Below are 15,201 nucleotides of genomic sequence, written 5' to 3' on the forward strand. Positions count from 1 at the left end.
CCTGACTGGGTGAGCCTGGCATCACTACCCATTCTTCCTCTCCCTCGGCCATCACATGGGAGACCCTTTGTTAGGGAGCAGGTGCACTTGAGTTGGTCAGACCAGGGTTTGCTCCTGGCACCACCACCTAACCACTGTGTGAGTTGGGCATGAGACTTGACTGCTCTGTACCTCATTTACCCCCTCTGTTAGATGGGGACAGTAAAAATACCCCACCTTTTAGGTAGTTAAGTAGTACATGTAAAGCACTTAACACAGTGACTAATACACAGCAGACACCTATAAAAGGCAGCCATGATGATGATGATGATGATGATAATGATGATGTATTAATAGTATGTTGCTTACTATGACACTTTTCCTACTCCGGTTTAAGTCAAAACAGAAATTTAGCACATAATTAGAACAAATTAATCCCAAATATGAGTTGAAAGTTCCAAATTATATGACGAAGATCCAAATATACCTTCTGAGACATTAAAAAGCTTCCTGAATAAAGGCCTGAATGAATAAGCAATGAGCTAGCTGAGTTAAGAACAGGCAGGTGGCACCGTCACAAAGCAGTTCTAAGGAGAGCAGGCAAGAGAATTACAGAATGAAAAGAATTATGGAACTTCACCGAAGTCAATCAGTTTGAAAAGAGTCTCAAGTTAGTTCTATTTCTAATCTTCTGCTTCATAAAAAAGAAGACAAGACAGAGCACTCAAGTGGGAAAAAGGATGTACTTCAAATTCCATTGTTTAAACATTTTCTCAGAAAACAAATTACTTTTAGTCATTCAGGTCACATAAAAGTTGTATGTTGTTTCTTTCCCCATTTCTACACCGACTGCTGACACGACAAGCTAGCTCATCACCTGCTCACACACTTACCTAGCTGTACGTCGGTTGTGAATCGCAGTCTGTGGATCATGCTGACTTTGAATGACTTGTAATGGTGGCTGCTAAGCATATCCTGTACTGTGGCTATGTCAATTTGCGAATCCTCCTCAAAAACCCCGTCTGCCCTTGAACCTGGGGAGGAAAAGGCAGTTTAACACATAAAGATACATGAGGCTTGGCAAATGGTGTCTGCTTAAAATGCTTTGGGATAAATTAAAATAATATGGGCTATTTAATTTGGAGAAGAAAAGGCTGAGCGATGACTTAATAATGCCATTCCAGTAAACAGAGAATGGTAACATATTAATCATTCAACAATTAATTCCACAAACACTATGGCAGGTCCTTGGCTGGGCAGCAGGGATGCAAGGATAAAAAAATTCCTGCTTGCTCTTGGCAGGAAGCTCAGTCCACAGGAGTGAGTCAAAAGCACAAGAGCTTGGGTGGTGTTAGCAGTGTCACGGGTCTTGTTTTTTTTCTAAATGTGATTTTCCTAATCACAAAAGTAATCCACATTCCTTGAAGAATCTCTGTCCTTTCCAAGATTCCCAAAACGTCTTCTTTACTGCCTCTCACCCTGCGCCCCACAGCCTCCATGTGGGATTTCACTCGTTCCCCATAGCAACCCTGAGCCATTGGTACTGATATTCCCATTCACGCAGGATAGAATTGAGGCTCAGAAAGATTAAGACACTTGCTTAAGGTTACATGGCTGTCTATTGATAGACATAGCTGTCTACTGACAGAGCCCCCACTGGCTCAGGGGGCACCTGCTAGTGCTTGAGTGTGACAGTCTCATCACTGGCCTCCTGGTCACCAGGCTCTTCCTCTGCAGTCCAGCCGCCACAGGCTTTCTGATCCATTTTTCTAAAGGTTGGATCATTCATTCATTCACCAAATGCTCAGAGAGCACCCTGTGCATGCTAAGTACTCTGATATGTGACACTGGAGACAGATAAGAAGCCTGGTGCTCAAAAATCTTCCCTGGCTCCACGGCCTCCTGAATGAAGAACACTTTTTTAGCCAGGCAATCGGGGCAGCCCATAATGTGCCTGAAACATACCAATATTCTTCTCACTTCTCACACATGCCTTCTCTCAGCCCTCTCAAACCCCTCAGACTGCACAGTGCTTCAGGCTTTTATAATTCTGGGCCTTTGCTCATGTGCTGCCCTTGGCCTAGAACAACCCTCTCATCCTCACCCAGACCTGTTGAAATCCCTCCACCCCTCCCTAGGCTAGCTCAAACTCTACCTCTCCTGTGAAATCTTTTCTGATGGTTCTTCTGGAAGTGAATTCCATAAAAGTTGGCTTATACTGGACCCTGGAGCCCGACAGCTGCGGCCGCAACTCCTAGCTCTGCCTCTAATTTGCTGTATGATCTTGGGCAAGTGACTTTATCTCTCTGAATTTCAGTTTTTGCCATTCACATCCAAATTTAGGTAAAGAATATGTATGCTTCATAAGAGCAGTGACTATTTTTCTTCTAGTGTCAGGGTGGATTATATTCAGCCGTGTGCTAGAATTGCTTAGTGGTTGCTCTGTCCTAATCTGGAAGCTTTGTGAAGGTCAGGAAAGTTTCTTACTCATTTTTATATCTTCTGCAAGCAGTAAAGGCAACTGGTATGCTCTCACTAAATTGTGCTAGATAAATAATAGCTAGTATACATGAGTGCTTACCATGTGCCAGGCTTGGTGTTAAGCATTTCACACGTTACTGCATTGAAGGTCTTATAATTTTCCATATTACAGATGAGAACTCTGAGGCTTTGGGAGGCTGTCACATGCCAAGGTTACACTAAGCAAAGTTAAACTATCTCTCAGTCCCTGGACTTTGAAATGTGGACTTCTGCAGATGCAGCTGTTGGTGCCATCACCAGTGCAGGGGGTAGAATGGGTTGGGAGGGGAGGAGCCTGTCTCGCAGGGGCTGACCACAGTAGGGTGCTCTAGGCCTCGTGTTGAGCACTCAGAGACAGTTCCACAGGGAAACCTAGGGAGAACTCTAGGGGGAATGGAAAACTCTAGATTTGGGTATAAAACTGGAAAATTTTGTAACAAACTGGTAGCCTGACAATGATATGCTTTTCCTTCCCACAGTTACTGCTTACGGGGCAAGTATTTTAAGTCAAAGTTGGTGTCTGATGCTTTCACAGTGAAATCATTTATTAGGAAATTTGTGTTCTATTTGCAAACACTACAGTAATTCCCAACCTGGACCATCCCAGCACCCACAATAGTACTTTCCTTCAGTAAGGACATGACCTCGCCCTTCACTGAGTGCCTCTGGCAGAATCCCATCTCAGAGCCTCTTGCACATGCTGTCCTCTCTGCCCAGGTCACCCTTCTCCCCATCTCATTCTCTCCCGGCCCCTCCCTGTTTTCCTACTGAAGAGCAGAGCACCAGTGACACTCCAGGGAAGCCTTCCCTGGCCGCAAGCCCCCGGCACTAGTTTGGCTCCTTCTGTCCCCGTATCCTGCATTTTTCTTCAGAACAGTTATCACAGGGAGTAATTGCCTGTCTCTGCCATTAGACTATAACCCCAAGAACACAGGGACTGCTTTCTCACCACTGCAACTCAGACACTGCCAGTGCTACCACTCAGAGGATAAAGCAGAGCTCAATAAACATGTACTGAACGAATACCAGGTGCCATGTCCACAGGAAGGTGAGGGTCAAAGAGACAGAGTGACTTAACCAACATTGCACCTCCAGGACACTGCAGAGCTTCACTCCACATCTGCAAGGGCCACTGGGTAGCCCCTTTCCTTTCTTTGCAGCACCTATGATTTTGGACAGAGATGCCATGATCCTGATTACCACTCTCTCCTGGGTAATACTGAGGCTGGTTAGGATTTGGAGTTTCAAATAATCATTCACTTTTTCCAGTCATTTTTACTGAAACATAACTGCCAAAACATGTTTTATTTCTATTTTAGAACTTCTTATACATGAGAATTGCAGAGAATTTTGGTAAAATATTAAAATCATTTAATGTTTTAAAAATCATTTCAAGTCATCTTTTCTGAGAAAATGCTATTATTAGATACAATTTAGCTCTGAGCTCAAGAACTTCTGTTTGCTTTACTAATTAGTGTTTTCTAAATATTGCAGGTATTTGATTTGGAAAGAGGTAACAGCTCATTATGCTAAAATGCCAATTACTAAAAAAAAAAAAAAAAAACCCACACTTAAGATTTTTACATTTTATGATGTTGGATTAAAACCAATTTAAAAATTACTATAACGTGACATATAATTTTTTACTGAGCAATTTCAATGCCAGCTGCTAATAAAGCATCTTAGCTATAAATGATAATTCAGATGCTTTTAGATAAAGTGGTGCATAAATATGGCTGGAAATTGATTTAGCTTCTTACAGAAGCTACTGAAGAATGACATATTTTGTTTAATACACCAGCTAATGTAGTCCTAAAAGCTCAAACAAGTGCCAGTTTTCACTCCTAAATTTGCTGTGGGAGATTAATGAAAACTTTATATTTTGCTGAAATGTTAATAATGGGCAGATGAGATGATAGGATTTTAGTAGAGGTCTTAAAGCTATGAAATAACCAGCAAGGCTTGTCAATATCCTTGTATTAATTTTGTACAAGACTTACATAGCTGGAGCTGGCTCAACACAGTAATGCTTCTTGCATTGACCTTCTACTCTCTGATAGCGTAAATTCATATCCCATTTGAGGATTTAAGTCCCCCCGATACCTGGGGGAGTTCTGAGCCTTGCCCCAACTGACAAGGGGCATGTCTGTGTTTATGATCAGAAGGATAACAGCACCTGAGGGAGTACAGAAGGAATAGTCCTGTACTCGCCTCCAATTCACGCTGCTCACTCCAAAGCAGGTTATCTGATGAATGGGATCAACTTCTGGTTTTGGAGTTCCAGTGTCATTTCTTTCTTTCTCTCTCTCTTTTGAGACAGAGTTTTGCTCTTGTTGCCCAGGCTGGAGTGCAATGGGGAGATCTTGGCTCACTGCAACCTCTACCTCCCAGGTTCAAGCAATTCTCCTGCCTCAGCCTCCCAGGTAGCTGACGCCTGGCTAATTTTTTGTATTTTTAGGAGAGATGGGATTTCGCCTTGTTGGCCAGGCTGGTCTCGAACTCCTGACCTCAGGTTATCCACCCGCCTCGGCCTCCCAAAGTGCTGGGATTACAGGCGTGAGCCACCGTGCCCAGCCTCCAGTGTCATTTCTCAAAGTAGGCTCAGGAGTACCACTTGTTGGAGGGGTCATGTCTATTGTATATGCAATGGTGCAACCACTTCTCTGCCCATGCTAGCAGTATGCTAGACGGTGGGGGACACTGGTGAGGATAAAGCAGGGTTCCTGATCTTCAGGAGCTTACAAATTAGCCAAAGGCCAGAAAATAGTACAAGGCAGAAAGAAGTGCCTAAAAATGGTGCCTGCAATAGACACTTTATCTAAAGACAAATACCTGAAGCAAAGCATTCATTATTCCAAAAGCATATTTTTTGGACCAGAAAAGTTCTATGACTTTGCATGTATACGTTTACTGTTTGTATCTTTCCAGAAAGGAGTGAACCCAACCACACATGAAAGATGAAAGATGCTTGATATTGTACCATCTGCATATTAAAATTACTCTACGACAACCTTCACATTAAAAAGTCCACTTCTGTTCAAGAGAAGACATTTTTAGCAACTCAAAGTGAAAAGCAGAGAGAACCAGAACATCTTAAAAATAAACATACTGAAAAAACAAAAACTACTCCCTGTTAATTTAACTGAAATATAACCCATTGGTATTTTGTTAAATTAGCAAATAAAAAGGTCACAAGCAATTAAATGAAACAAAAGCCACACTGTGTTCATCTACATTAATGCTGAACTGGGTCTCCTCGTGAATGACAAGATAAATTGTTATGGTGCCTTCAAAGACTTCACAATGTATTTTGTCAAAGTCGGGAGGGTTAATGTCTCTATAAGCCACGGATTACCATAATGTATTGTGTCAAAACGCTCAAGCTGCAATAACTCAAAGATGTATTGTGATAGATCAAATTTTGGGGTGGGGCCTAATAGTGACTTGAGCACCACAGCTCAAATGGACTGACAACAAGGCTCCAGAAGAATGACAATCACAATGTAGGAAGGTATGGAGGACAAGCAGAAAACCCAGGAGGAGAAGCAGCTTAAGTCTCGGGAATACAAAATCAGGAAAGGAGAACTGAGGAATGAGGCCTCACACCTGTCTTCAGTGAAGAATGGCAAGAAGAGGCCACGGCAGGCAAAGGGAAGCAGAGAGGAGTTGAGGAAGGAGGCAGGTGGAGTCTAGGGCCTGCAGCCAAGAAAGAAAGAGAAGGTGCTGGGAGGCAGCCTTGGGGATTAATAACATTAGAAAGAACATGGAATATAAGAGTACAGAGATAGAGATTCAAACTGTCACTCAAAGTGTCAAGACTGGGTCAAAACCTTGCCCAGGGTTCCACTGTTAGGAAAGGTGAAACCGGGACAGATCTGTTGGACTCTGGAGTCCACGTGCCTTCTCCTTTCCCTTCCCTCAAGTGGTTAAAGGCTGCTCCTGCCCTGCCTACCTCACCACACTCCTACAGCAACAGCACTGTAATAGACTGTTGAGTCGAATAACTGTAAATTCTAAATTAGTGGTTCTCAAAGTGCACACTGGGTCCTATGGTGGTGGTGGTGGTGGGGAATTCCCAAGTCCCCTTCAGGGTCCATAATTGCAATACTATTTTTATAACAACAGCAAGACATGACTTACTTTTTTCATGTCCATTCTCTTACAAGTGCACAAAGGAATAAAAAGCTTGGCTGGGCGCAGTAGCTCACACCTGTAATCCCACCATTTTGGGAGGCCGAGGTGGGTGGATCACCTGAGGTCAAGAGTTCGAGACCAGCCTGACCAACATGGTGAAACCCCGTTTCTACTAAAAATACAAAATCAGCTGGGTATGGTGGCATACGCCTGTAATCTTAGCTACTTGGGAGGCTGAGGCAGGAAAATCGCTTACACCCGGGAGGCAGAGGTTGCAGTGAACCAAGATTGCGCCACTGCACTCCAGCCTGGGCAACAAGAACGAAACTCTGTCTCAAAAAACAAAACAAAACAAAACAAACCAACAAAAAAACAACAACAAAATAGAAACTATCATTTGAGTTTTGGTATAGTAACAAAAATTAATACCCACAATTATCTGAAAAGGCTATTGAAATATTCTTCCCTTTTTCAACAACATATCTGTGTCAGGCCAAATTTTCTTCACATACTTTAACCAAAGCAATGTATTGCAGCGGACTGAATGCAGAGGCAGATATGAAAATCCAGGTGTCTTCTATAAGCCCAGACATTACAGAAACTTGCAATATAATAAAATAATGACACTCTTCTCATTAAAAATTTTAGGCCTGGCTAGGTGCAGTGGCTCACACCTGTAATCCCAGCACTTTGGGAGGCCAAGGTGGGCGGACCACTTGAGGTCAGGAATTTGAGACCACCCTGGCCAACATGGTGAAACCTCGTCTCTATAAAAATACAAAAAATTAGCTGAGGATGGCGGGGCATGCCTGTAATCTCAGCTACTCTGGAGGCTGAGGCAGGAGAATCGCTTGAAGCCAGTAGGCGGAGGCTGAAGTGAGAGCTGAGATTACACCACTGCACTCCAGCCTGGGCGACAGAGCAAGACTCCGTCTCAAAAAAAAAAAAAAAAAATTTAGGCCAGGTGCGGTGGCTTATGAATATAATTCCAGCACTTTGGGAGGCTGAGGTGGGTGGATTGCTTGAGTCTAGGAGTTTGAGACCACCCTGTGCAACACGGCAAAACTCTGACTCTACAAAAAATACAAAAATTAGCTGGGTTTGGTGGCTCATGCCTGTACTCCCAGCTACTGAGGATGAGGTGGGATGATCACTTGAGCCCAGGAGGTTGAGGCTACAGTGAGCTGTGATCACGCCACTGCACTCTAGCCTGGGTAACAGAGTGAGACCCTGTCTCAAAAAAATTTTTTTTAAAGAAATTATAGTTACTTTTCATAAAATTTGTCATTTGGGCCAGGCATGGTGGCTCACCCCTGTAATCCCGGCACTTCTGGAGGCCAAGGCAGGTGAATTACTTGAGTCCAGGAGTTTAAAACCAGCCTGGGCAACATGGCAAAACCCCATCTCTACAAAAAATACAAAAAAAAAGCAGCCAGGCTTAGTGGTGTGCTCCGATAGGCCCAGCTACTGGGGAAGCCGAGGTGGGAGGATCGCTTGAGCCTAGGAGGTGGAGGTTGCAGTGAGCTGTGATTGTACTACTGCATTCTAGCCTTGTGACAGAGACCCTATCTCAAAAAAAACCAAAAAAACAAAAAAAAACAAAAAAACATAAAACTGTCATTAACATTAATGAAATTACTGTTTTTCAATAAATATTTTAAAATTAATCAATTTTTAATAGATGTAACTCAATAAACAAAAGCTTGGCCAGGTGCAGTGCCTCACACCTGTAATACCAGCAGTTTGGGAAGCCAAAGCGGGAGCACTGTTTGAGGCCAGGAGTTGAAGAGCAGCCTGAGCAACATAGTGAGACTTTATCTCTACTGAAAGTTAAAAAAAAAAAAAAAAAAGTCAGCTGGGCATGGTGGTGCACACCTGTAGTCCCAGCTGCTCGGGAGGTAGAGATGAGAGGATCACTTGAGCCCAGGAGTTTGAGGCTACAGTGAGCTGATTTGCCACTGCACTCCATCCTGGGCGAGACCTGGCGACAGGGCAATACCTCGCCTCAAAATAACAAAACAAAACAAAAGCTCTTTGGGTCTTCAATAACTTTTAAGAGTATAAAGAGGTCCTAAAACCAAAAAGTTTGAGAACTGCTGACTTTATTGGTTATAATGCCATGTTTTCATTGCCCCTGATATCTATTTGGACAATAATAATGGGAAACGAAAGTGCAGTTATAGCTGTGTATATGTGTTATAATCTGACAACAAACACAGCTGCAAAGCCTGTACACACATAAAAGCAATAGGTTTACTTTCAGGTGATCAGACCAAGGCTAATTATAAATACTGTTTTATAGTTTTAAAAGTGTTTTCATAGATGTGATTTAATTGGAACTGAGGGAGACACTTAGAGTTATATGACTTTATTTCAAACAAATAGGACTAATCATTAAATCATAGCTCAGATGAACTCACCGTATATTACTGGAAGATTCCTTGTACTCATAGATACAAACTGCATGGGACTTTAACATTCATTTTATGGTTCAAGGAGTCTTACACCAAGTCTAAAAGGCCCCAATCTAGTTATAAATTAAAGCAACTTCAGTGTCTCTTCTCTAAAAAGATCTATGCCAACTCTAGAACTCAACTGGAAGATCAGTGGCCTCTGTTATATCCTCACCTTTGTCCATAGCACAATCCTGTTGACTGTTTCTTCTAGACTAGCAGTTACTTAGCTCCAGCCATATGCCAGGTGCTGTGCTAGTGCTTCCGGAATTTAGGGGGATGGCAGTGTTCCCAGATGATGAAAGGAGGACAGGCAATCCATGGAGGAATATAGGAAAAAACATAAAGTCCACAAAGCATGAGGACCTACACAGGGAACACCAAGTGTTTGCCTTTGGCACAGTGTGTGAAGCGGAATGGTGGAAAAGAAAATGGTGGGGGTGGGAGTAGTTCTTCAAAAGTGGAGCAGTATCTAGCTCAGCACCTGGCACACAATTAAGTAAAATAGTACAAGTGACTGACAATGAGAAGTACATAAACCCTTCTCTGCTCCACTCTATCTTGAAGTCTTATTGCTACTCCCCACGCAGAAGCCCTGCTTCAGCTAAACTGGACTCTGCTCAGGTTCTACCATTTGGTCAGAATGTCCTTTATGCTCTAAAATTTATATGCTTCAAGGTCTAGTCCAAATGGAACCTCCCCTGTCTCTCTCCTAAAGCATTATAGCCCTTTATTGAAGGTTCTTCTGGTAAGTATCTTACATGGTAAGTATTTGCACTCCCCTCCAGACAAGGAGCCTGAGGGCAGGAACATCCCATTCTACAAAGCACATGGTCACACAGTAGATGTTCAATAAATGCTGCTGATGGAACAAGTGAAGTGTGATGCAACACAGGTTAACCATTAACAGCACCTGAGGTTTGTACACCACCCCTTGTATTTACCTTGGCTAACAGCACCTAACATACCTTTCCTCGTTTTCCATTCAGACTCCCCAACAGACTAGGTTTGTCAAGGACAGGGGTTCTGCCTCAACAACTGTGACGGTGGCTAACACACACTAAGTGCTTAACGCATGCCAGCACGATGCTCAGCATTTTAAAGACGTCATCTCATTCCATTTTTCCCAATGCCTCTTTAAGTTGGATATTATCCTCTTTTTACAGGTGAGAAAAATGAGACTCAGAATGTCATTCTGCTACAGTAGTCATACAAACAGTACAAGCTGGAGCTAGGAACTGAACCCAGGTCTAATTCCAAAATTGCACCTTTAACCACCACACAACCTCTGTGAGTAAAAATGTTCCTCAGATGGGCTGGAAATGCATAACTCCATGGGCTGTAATGGTATCTAAGGAGAACACAGTCACGCCTGGCCATGCCAGAGCAAAGGAATCAGGGATAAAACCTAACTCTCCACTCCCTCGGTAAGACTTAAAGCTGGATGCATAAGTGAGTCACAGAGAAAACTCTTCCTTAGCGCTCTGCATCCATCACATTTTTTTTTCCAGAGGCCTTTTAAGTCCCCAAAGCCCCATAAGCCCAAAACTTCTCTTCTATTAAACACTTCCCTTTGGCTACTAGTTATTTTTGCTGGTCTCTAAAAAACAATCAATAGGTGATATACTAAAACACACACACACGTTCATGCCCCCCGCCTGCCCACCGCTCTGCAGTAATCTCTTTAAAGCCATCGGGATCACGCAGTAGGATATACCCTTCACTAGAATCTGCCATGCTACCACCGGGGTAGGGATCTTTGCTGTCAGTGCTTAATTGATTAAACTCTTGGAGCCAGAGCCAGCCAGGCTGGAGGACTTTCCACATGGAGATTTCAGACCCCCTTCAATAAATCAAGGTAATCTTGTTTTATGAGGTAGTCAGAAAGAAACAGTTTCAGGTTTGTAGAATTTCGAAAAAGAGCAGATCATGGAAGCGGGGCCTACGAGGCTCTGCATCTTAGACCCTTGCTATCCCTCAGTCTCATCTTTCAGCACACTCTCCCTCATTCCATTCCATTTATTCATTCCTAAACACCCCAAGCTCCTTCTCATCTCAAAGCCTTCAGATGAGCAGTCCCTTGGCCTGGAACATTCTTCTCTTACTCATTATTGGACTAACTCCTTTTTCTTCTTACTCAAGCCTCTCATTCTTCTCACCTGCTCTGGTCCCCTGCTATGCACTCTTTTCTACCCTTCACAGCACTGATCACAATTGTGTGCTCTATAACGTGGGGCTAAGTCTCAGCACAGTGGCTGGCCCAGAGGAGGGCTCAATCAATGTTTGGGGAATGCATGAACAAATATGTGCCCAAAGTGAATCCAATACCCTTTACAGGATGAAGCATGACCACTTAAGGGTCTGGACCAATGGTTCATTATGGGTTTGCTTGGAAGTTAGATTAGTGACAGAATTCTCATTATTTCCTCTTTCTCCAATATGTCTTTGTCCATGTTCAAAGCCCAGGAAAAGTAATGGGGTCTTCTCAGGAGCATGGCATTTTTGACAATTTACATGGCAAAATATCTAAGAACTGTAACATCTGATCAACACCAAGGTGTCCCTTTCCCTGACTCGAGAGTCAGAGGATGAGGGCATATCCGCTGGAAGAATCCCACCTCCCATTCAGAGTCACTGCAGAAATGTCACCTGATGCATTACCAAACCATTAGTCAGGACCTTCAGGGCGAATTCTGGGGCCAGGAGCCTATCAGAGGGATGCAAATCTCCATGCCCTCACTTAGAGCCCAGACAGGGTTTGTGGCTCATCAAACATGCTTCCTTACTGCTCTAATGTACCAGTGTATCGCTTAATGAAAGTTCTTAATTGTAATTCAATTAATTACATACACAGAGTCCCCAATTACATTTTCCAATAAGACATTGGCTGTGGTACAGGTCTAAATGCACTTAAACCAATTTTAATATATTAAGACCAATTTCCCTTGAATACTAATTACTACCTAATGATAAAACGGAAACGGGGGAACTTTTAGAGAAAGAAGAGAGTGAAAAATGCAAATCATGTGGAAGTTCTCAGCCCACACAGCACAATTCAGACACTCATTACTGAAAAGTAGCTGTGGACAAGGCACAAGTTTGCTTCAAGACAGGTCAGCACAGCTTTTTGCCCCAGGTGTCAGCTACCCTTGGTGCTGGCCAATGCCCAAAGGGGCCTGTGGGAAGTCTAAGGGGCTAGAGGGAAAGAAAACAGGAATCACAGGGAGGGAAAGGGTCACCACACACATGCTCAGACAAGCTATGGTGTCTGTGACAGTTGGTTGGCCTCTGAGTCTCAGGCAGACACACTCAGTAATGGTGAACGCTTGTATAGTGCACTGCAGTTCACTATGGGCTTTTACTGTACACAATCTCACTGACTTGTTTCAATGGTTTAAGCCTCACAACGCTTTACAGGGTAGGGAATACCATCACATTTTGCAGCAGGGGAAATGAGGCCCACAAAGAAGGAGGACTTGTACAAGGTTACACAGTGGTGCCAAATATCCTGCCTTTATAGTGCGAACCAGTCCACATTAACCAGAGAGGAAGACAAGGACTCACAGGTATGTGGCGAATAATGTTTCTGTTTCATTTAAATTCTAATAGCGTGCAGCAAACAGGGAGCTATTATGCAATATCGACTTGGATAAAAATCCTCACCCTACAGAAAATTCCTTACAGTGAACACCTCCCCGCTAAAGCCAGACAGGTTAACTGGCTTTCAGCAATAACAACCTAAAATATGTAAAACGAACATCACAAGTCATTTTCATTTGTAAATAAGAGTTTATTTGCATGATCACATTTTCTTGTGTATTTGAAGAGTGCTGTTGTGGTATAATAAAGGAGGTGCTTAAGTCACATGATAGAAATTGGGGAGATCAGTAATTTGTAACTGAAGGAGGCAGAGCCTCCAGAAGCAGCATGGAACCACCAGGGAGTCTCCAGAGCTGGCACAGAGCACACGCAGGAGGAAGAATCAGCCCGTTATAAATAAGCATCACAAAGAGGGTCGGAAGCACACCAGGATAAAGCTGACTTTCATCCTCTTTCTACAGCTGCTTCTTCCCTCTCTCCGTTTCTATTTTGTAGTGGTGGTGGTAGTCCAACAAAGAAACCCCTACACTTAAAGACGCTTATTCAAACCCAAGTTCTCCTTAAAAGCCATCTTGTACTTGGTCCAGTGAGAAGCCTGGAGATGTGAGGGGCTCAGGAGGCTCACTCTATCAGGGGGAAAGAGCCAGGCCTGGCCACAGACACCAGGATGCAGAGGGGACTCAGACTGGGTTCCTCTCCAGTGTGAGGGGTGGTCACAGTCTAGTGTGGGACTTGGCAAATCCATTCAGGGGAATCAGTGATCAGAGAGGAGTAAAGGTAGGAACTGTAACGAGCCCATGGAGGGGCAGCCAGGTAATCTGGGCAGCTCCTAGGAGTTGCCTCCTCTCCTGGGGCCTCAGGGGGAAAATTAAGAAGGTAAATGAGGGCTCTCAGACTAAGACCTCTGGATGTTCTTCCTTCCCATAGTCCACCCTCCTGCATGACTACCCACCTGGTGAGTTGAGGCCCTTCCTCAGTATAACCTTAAAATTAGGAAATGAGAATTTCATTAAGTGCTGAAATAATGGATGAACTTAAACATTCTGTGAATCTCCTTCAAAAGGAAAGATCAAAGGAAGCTGAATTAATGTTTACAGAGCAACTGAAGTCTCTCTCTACACCACCTTCTATTTAGGAAATACAATAATTAGATTCAGCTCTTTCACCAGACTTAATGAATAAAAGACAGTTTTCCAGGCCTCTCATTATTGTTCATGTGATATTAGCAAATCACTTCACCCCTCAGTTTCCTCTTCTATAAAACAAGGATGATGACTACATGGCCTAAAATGTTGTTATAATAAGAGCACTTATATCTCATTCAATTCTCACCAAATCCTTGTGAAATAGATTCATTCACCTCCATTTACACATGAAATCAGAGATGACATAATTTGTCCACTGTCACAGGCTGCAAGTGGTTCACCCAAGGTCTGCCTGATTCTAATGACTGTGCTTTAAGCACTGTGAATGACAGACTAGTCAGGGATAAAACAGAAAGATGGTGTCTGACACTTTGTTAGTATTCCATAAAGCCAGTTTAATTTCAGGCTTATATTGGCCCTGATGATGGGAAATTCCACTTTCTCTCTTAAAGCTGTGGAAAGAATAAGTTGGTTCAAGCGGCACCTTTCTTCTAAGGACCTGCATGGACTACCTCCACATGGTTGGTGGGAAAGGTCACTGGCAACATTTGGCAGACAAGGGAATTGAGGCTCAGTTTGGTGCCAGGATGTATATAGAAGCTTGGACAAGAATGGAAGTCTTGTAATGTTACATCCTCCCCATAATGTACTTGGGCTTCCTTCTGGTATGATTCCAGCTTCTAGCAGGCATTTGGCTGAAGGATGTAGTAGATTATCCGACAAGAATCCAAACTGGAAAGCTCAAGGACTTTGGCTTGTCATTTTCTTATTTAGGCCAAGATCCAAGCACAAATGTTAGCTCTCAGTACCTAGGCAGAAACTCTTGTCATATCTGCTTCATCTGTAAGCTTCTCTCTCATAGCATATAAAGACAATTGTAATAGCCATTCTTAGGACTGAAAATTCAGGTTGTTTTATCAACAATCTCAGGGTCGACTCTGGAATCAGACATCTGACTTAAAATTTTGGTCTTATCACTTACTGGCTGGATAACTTCGAGCAAGTCACAACCTCTCTTCACAATGAGAACAATATCTTGTAGGGTAGCCATGAAAATTGAAAGATAAAGCATTTGCAAAATGTCTAGCACAATGCCTTACAATAGTAGGCCCAAATACGTAATTTTTAAAAACACCCTTTTCTGCAGGACTAGGTATGATGGAAAGAAAAATAAATAAATAAAAAAGAAATAACAAAAAACATTCATTGACGTGGTTGATATAAAATATTATGCCACATTCCTCCTTGAAAGAAAAACTGAAAGGCTTCTATCCACCCTTATGGCAAACAGACTTCTCAAACAAATGGTTTTATTTATAAAGCGTATATCCATTCTGGGACACCAAAAAATATTTGCTGGGAGGTACGCT

The 15,201-nt window shown here is 43.0% G+C and overlaps 1 protein-coding gene across 5 annotated transcripts in view, besides 2 other annotated features; it reads right to left on the reverse strand.

The window, feature by feature from the left end:
• The window catches only part of MAPKAP1 (MAPK associated protein 1), a 269,815-nt gene that overhangs the window by 46,177 nt on the left and 208,437 nt on the right, over positions 1 to 15,201 (reverse strand). For 4 of the 5 annotated variants that reach the window (NM_001006621.2, NM_001006620.2, NM_024117.4 and 1 more), the window contains one exon: positions 873 to 1,013. The exons of the other annotated variant lie outside the window; for it this stretch is intronic. In NM_001006621.2, coding sequence (NP_001006622.1) covers positions 873 to 1,013 — 141 coding nt within the window. The remainder of the gene's footprint in view (positions 1 to 872; positions 1,014 to 15,201) is intronic. 5 annotated transcript variants of the gene reach the window in all.
• Positions 851 to 1,017: a silencer, noted in NCBI's record as "fragment chr9:128246700-128246866 (GRCh37/hg19 assembly coordinates)". NCBI's record gives its function as "represses an EF-1alpha promoter that drives an FKBP-Casp9 reporter gene in an ReSE screen in phorbol 12-myristate 13-acetate-treated (for megakaryocytic differentiation) K562 erythroleukemia cells {active_cell/tissue: K562(+PMA)}" and the evidence as "EXISTENCE:reporter gene assay evidence [ECO:0000049][PMID:32094911]".
• Positions 11,442 to 12,229: an enhancer, noted in NCBI's record as "H3K27ac-H3K4me1 hESC enhancer chr9:128257291-128258078 (GRCh37/hg19 assembly coordinates)". NCBI's record gives its function as "activates a minimal SCP1, AML or CMV promoter by ChIP-STARR-seq in primed H9 embryonic stem cells {active_cell/tissue: H9 hESC(primed)}" and the evidence as "EXISTENCE:reporter gene assay evidence [ECO:0000049][PMID:30033119]".

Source organism: Homo sapiens, chromosome 9 (assembly GCF_000001405.40).
Source record: "Homo sapiens chromosome 9, GRCh38.p14 Primary Assembly".
Taxonomy (NCBI): Eukaryota; Metazoa; Chordata; class Mammalia; order Primates; family Hominidae; genus Homo; species Homo sapiens.